At 46.6% G+C, this 6000-nt stretch overlaps 1 pseudogene, besides 1 other annotated feature; it reads left to right on the top strand.

Moving 5' to 3' along the window:
* REXO1L9P (REXO1 like 9, pseudogene) lies at positions 1 to 1136 on the top strand (annotated as a pseudogene).
* Positions 4553 to 5054: an enhancer, noted in NCBI's record as "OCT4 hESC enhancer chr8:86770972-86771473 (GRCh37/hg19 assembly coordinates)". NCBI's record gives its function as "activates a minimal SCP1, AML or CMV promoter by ChIP-STARR-seq in primed H9 embryonic stem cells {active_cell/tissue: H9 hESC(primed)}" and the evidence as "EXISTENCE:reporter gene assay evidence [ECO:0000049][PMID:30033119]".

Genomic DNA, 6000 nt, shown 5'->3' with positions numbered 1-6000 from the left:
GGGCCGCCCTGTACAGCCGCCTCCAGGAGTTCCTGCTCACCCAGGACCAGCTCAAGGAGAACGGCTACCCCTTCCCGCACCCCGAGCGGCCCGGAGGCGCCGTCCTCTTCACTGGCCAGGGGAAGGGGCCCGGCGACTCCTCCTGCAGGGTCTGCTGCCGTTGTGGCACCGAGTACCTGGTGTCCTCCTCGGGCCGCTGTGTACGCGACCAGTTGTGTTATTATCACTGGGGGCGGGTCCGCTCGAGCCAGGTGGCTGGAGGCCGGGTTAGCCAGTACACCTGCTGTGCAGCTGCTCCTGGCTCTGTGGGCTGCCAGGTGGCAAAGCAGCACGTGCGGGACGGCCCGCAAGGAGAGCCTCGATGGCTTCGTGGAGACCTTCAAGAAAGAGTTGTCCAGAGACGCTTATCCAGGAATCTACGCCTTGGACTGTGAGATGTGCTACACCACGCATGGCCTAGAGCTGACCCGCGTCACCGTGGTGGACGCCGACATGCGAGTGGTGTACGACACCTTCGTCAAGCCCGACAACGAGATCGTGGACTACAACACCAGGTTTTCCGGAGTCACCGAGGCCGACGTCGCCAAGACGAGCATCACGTTGCCCCAAGTCCAAGCCATCCTGCTGAGCTTTTTCAGCGCCCAAACCATCCTCATCGGGCACAGCCTGGAGAGCGACCTGCTGGCCCTGAAGCTCATCCACAGCACCGTGGTGGACACGGCCGTGCTCTTCCCGCACTACCTGGGTTTCCCCTACAAGCGCTCCCTCAGGAATCTCGCGGCCGACTACCTGGCACAGATCATCCAGGACAGCCAGGACGGCCACAACTCCAGCGAGGACGCAAACGCCTGCCTGCAGCTGGTGATGTGGAAGGTCCGACAGCGCGCCCAGATCCAGCCACGCCACCGGTCCGCCTCTCCCGCCGCCCTGGCCTGTCCTTAGCCCCAGGCCTCTTCCAAAACCGCCATCAGTCCCGAGAGCTCACCCTGCCCACCTCGCCGCAAGCGAAAGAAACTGGAGCAGCCGGCGGCAGGAGAGGGCAAAAAGCCAAGAGTAACCCCAACCCCCCACTCCCGGTCCCCCGGAATCCCTGCCGCGGCCCCTCGGGCCTGTCCACATCCCTCTGCCCCTCCCAGACCTCTGTCCTTCCACCAATCGCCTCCCGCAGCCCCGAGCCGCCACTCCCAGTCCCCCGAGTCCCTGCCGCGCGCCCTCGCGCCTGTCCACATCCCTCTGCCCATCCGAGACCTCTGTCCTTACACCACTAGCCACCCCACGTGGGACTTCCATGGCTTCTGAGTACAAGGCCAGCCCCCCGGCCCACCAGCTTTCGGAATGCCTGCTTACCTCTTTTTCTGTAGAGGCACCACAGGGAGGTGGGTGAAGCACTTCGGCTCTGGAGTTACAGATCTGGGTTCAAGGCCAAATTCCACCACTTACTAGGTTTGTAATATTGGACAGATAACGTCTTTGCGCTTCTACCTTTTGGTCTTTAAAGTGTGATCAAAAGAGACTTAGACTCCCACATAGTAATAATAATAATAATGGCAAACTTAACACCCCACTGTCAACATTAGACACACCAACGAGACAGAAAGTTAAAAAAGGATATCCGGGAATTGAGCTCAGCTCTGCACCAAGCGGACCTAGGAGACATCTACAGAACGCTCCACCCCAAATCAACAGAATATACATTCTTCTCAGCACCACATCACACTTATTTCCACATTGACCACATAGTTGGAAGTAAAGCACTCCTCAGTAAAAGTAAAATAACAGAAATTATTACAAACGGTCTCTCAGACCACATTGCAATCACACTAGACCTCAGGATTGAGAAACTCACTCAAAACCGCACAACTGCATGGAAACCGGACAAGCTGTTCCTGAATGAGTACTGGGTACATAACGAAATGAAGGCAGAAATAAAGATATTCTCTGAAAGCAATGAGAACAAAGACACAACATACCAGAATCTCTGGGACACATTTAAAGCAGTGTGTAGAGGGAAATTTATAGCACTAAATGCCCACAAGGGAAAGGAGGAAAGATCAAAAATGCATACCCTAACATCACCATTAAAAGGATGAGAGAAGCAAGAGCAAACACATTCAAAAGCTAGCAGAAGGCAAGAAATAACTAAGATCCGAGCAGAATTGAAGGAGATAGAGACCCAAAAAACCCTTCAAAAAATCAATGAATCCAGGAGCGGGTTTTTTGAAACCATCAACAAAATTGATAGACCACTAGCAAGACTATTAAAGAATGAAAGGAAGAAGAATCAAGCAGATGCAATAAAAAATGATAAAGGGGATATCACCACTGATCCCACAGAAGTACAAACTACCATGAGAGAATACTGTCAACACCTCTAGGCAAACAAACTCGGAAATCTAGAAGAAATGAATAAATTCCTGGACACATGCAACCTCCCCAGAGTAAACCAGGAAGAAGTTGAATGCCTGAATAGACCAATAACAGGCTCTGAAATTGAGGCAATAATTAATAGCCTATCAAGCAATAAAACTCCAGGACCAGACGGATTCACAGCCGAATTCTACCAGAAGTACAAGGAGGAGCTGGTACCATTCCTTCGGAAACTATTCCAATCAACAGAAAAAGAGGGAATCCTCCCTATCTCATTTTATGAGGCCAGCATCATCCTGATCCCAAAGGCTGAGAGAGACACAACCAACAAAGAGAATTTTCGGCCCATATCCCTGAGGAACACCGATGGAAAAATCCTCCATAAAATGCTGGCAAACCGAATCCAGCAGCACATCAAAGAGCTTATCCATTATGATCAAGTGGGCTTCATCCCTGACATGCAAGGCTGGTCCAACATATGCAAATCAATAAACATAATCCAGCATATAATCGGAACCAAAGACAGAAACCGCGTGATTATCTCAACAGATGCAGAAAAGGCCTTTGACAAAATTCAACAGCCTTTCATGCCAAAAACTCTCAATAAATTAGGTACTGATGGGACATACCTCAAAATAATAAGGGCTATTTAGGGCAAACCCACAGCCAATATCATACTGAATGGGCAAAAAGTGGAAGCATTCCCTTTGCAAACTGCCACAAGACAGGGGTGCCCTCTCTCACCACTCCTATTCAACATAGTGTTGGAACTTCTGGCCAGGGCAATCAGGCAGGAGAAAGAAATAAAGAGTAATCAATTAGGAAAAGAGGAAGTCAAATTGTCCCTGTTTGTAGATGACATGATTGAATATTTAGAAAAACCCATCGTCTCAGCCCAAAATCTCCTTAAGCTGATAAGCAACTTCAGCAAAGTCTCAGGATACAAAATCGATGTGCAAAAATCACAAGCATTCTTATACACCAATAACAGGCAAACAGAGAGCCAAATCATGACTGAGCTCCCATTCACAATTGCTTCAAAGAGAATAAAATACTGAGGAATCCAACTAACAAGGGATGCGATGTGCGAAGGACCTCTTCAAGGAGAACTACAAACCACTGCTCCACGAAATAAAAGAGGACACAAACCAATGGAAGAATATTCCATGCTCACGGTTAGGAAGAATCAGTATCGTGAAAATGGCCATACTGCCCAAGGTATATTATAGATCCAATGCCATCCCCATCAAGCTACCAAGGACTTTCTTCACAGAATTGGAAAAAACTACTTGAAAGTTTACATGGAACCACAAAAGGGCCCCCACTGCCAAGATAATCCTAAGCCAAAAGAACAAAGTTGGAGGCATCAAGCTACCCGACTTCAAACTACACTACAAGCCTACAGTAACCAAACAGCATGCTGTTGGCTGCCTTTTTGGTTACTGTAGACCAATGGAACAGAATAGAGCCCTCAGAAATAATACGACACATCTACAACCATCGGATCTTTGACAAACCTGACAAAAACAAGAAATGGGGAAAGGATTCCCTATTTAATAAATGGTGCTGGGAAAACTGGCTAGCCATATGTCCGAAGGTGAAATTGGATCCCTTCCTTACACCTTATACAAAAGTTTATTCAAGACGGATGAAAGACTTAAATGTTACATCTTAAGCCATACAAACCCTAGGAGAAAACCTAGGCAATACCATTCAGGACATAGGCATGGGCAAGGACCTCATGTCTAAAACGCCAAAAGCAAAGGCAACAAAAGCCAATATTGACAAACGGCATCTAATTACACTAAAGAGTTTCTGCACAGCTAAAGAAACTCCCATCAGAGTGAACAGGCATGCTACAGAAAGGGAGAAAATTTTTGCAATCTACTCATCTGACAAAGGGCTAATATCCAGAATCTACTAAGAACTCAAACAGAGTTACAAGAAAAACCAAACAACCCCATCAACAAGTGCAGGAAGGATATGAAGAGACACTTCTAAAAAGAAGACATTTATGCAGCCAACAGACACATGAAAAAATGCTCATCAACACTGGTCATCAGAGAAATGCAAATCAAATCCGCAAAGAGATATCGTCTCACACCAGTTAGAATAGCGATCAATAAAAAAGTCAGGAAACAACAGGTGCTGGAGAGGTAGTGGAGAAATAGGGACACTTTTAAACTGCTGGTGGGACTGTAAACCAGTTCAGCGGTTGTGGAAGATAGTGTGGCGAATCCTCAAGGATCTAGAATTAGAAATACCATTTGACCCAGCCGTCCCATTACTGGGTATACACCCATAGGACTATAAATCATGCTGCTAAAAGGACACACGCAGACGTATGTTTATTGCGGCACCGTTCACAGTAGCAAAGACTTGGAACCAGCCCAGATGTCCATCAATGATAGACTGGATTAAGGAAACGTGGCACAAATACACCGTGGAATACTATGCAGCCATAAAAAAGCATGTGTTCATGCCCTTCGGAGGGACACGGATGAAGCTGGAAACCATCATTCTTAGCAAACTATCGCAAGGACAAAAAAACCAAACACCGCGTGATCCCACTCATAGGTGGGAATTGAACTAGGAGAACACTTGGACGCAGAAAGGGGAACATCACACACCGGGGCCTGTCATGGGCGGGGGGAGGGGGAGGGATAACATTAAGAGATATACCTAATGTAAATGACTAGTGAATGGGTGCAGCACACCAACATGGCACGTGCTTACATACGTAATAAACCTGCACGTTGTGCACATGTACCCTAGTAATTAAAGTATAATTTTAAAAAAAATGGAAAACGAAAGTGTGATCCTAATGTCATGGTGCGGACTGAATGAAGCAGCACATGGCAAGCCTTAAAACGATCGCACATAGTAGGTGTTCAATTAATGTTAACTATATTTCTTTTCTATAATAGTTTATAAAGGGAATTCATGAACACTATGTGATTAATCCTTGGAACAACCCAACAGGTAGGTAAATAAAGCCTAATTTTATACCTAAAGAAACCATGCAGCTTAACTTGCCCAAAATAATAATGATTGTAATGAGCACTGGCTGTTGGTTTCTTATGTACTTGGTACTTTGCACGTATTAACCCAGTCAGTCCTCCTAATAGTTGTGAGAGAGATAGCATTCTTATCCCCATTTTACAGATGAGGAACCTGAAGCCCAGGTGATAAGTAGTTTATCCAAGGTATCATAGCTAGAAGTCGGGTGCAGGCAGTCTGGCTCCAGAGCCCCTGCTCTGTCCGCTGACCTAGCTGACTTCCCAAGAGTCAAAGTGGATTCTTCCCCAAGACCAACCAATTACAATGACTGAATCAGTCAGTCAACTTCGAACTGGGCTCCAAGAGAGAACGAACCATCATGCCTCTCTAAATCCTCATTTCTAGTTTGAATCTTCAAGGAGAGATAGACACTAAGTAGCTAGTTTTGCTGGAATGGCTGATTTTATCAATGTTTTCGGTGTGTGAGTGTGTGTGTGTGTATATGTATAGAACTAAATTAAACTGATAATTTGAATGCTTACACTTCCATTAGTTCAATTTGTGTATGTGAGCCCTCACACACATACATACACACACACAAACTGTTCCAGAACAGTGACTTAGTGAAAAACT

The sequence above is a fragment of the Homo sapiens genome, chromosome 8, assembly GCF_000001405.40.
Source record: "Homo sapiens chromosome 8, GRCh38.p14 Primary Assembly".
Lineage (NCBI taxonomy): Eukaryota > Metazoa > Chordata > Mammalia > Primates > Hominidae > Homo > Homo sapiens.
Note: the sequence above shows the minus strand (reverse complement) of the source record. Positions and strands in the feature narration are given on the sequence as shown.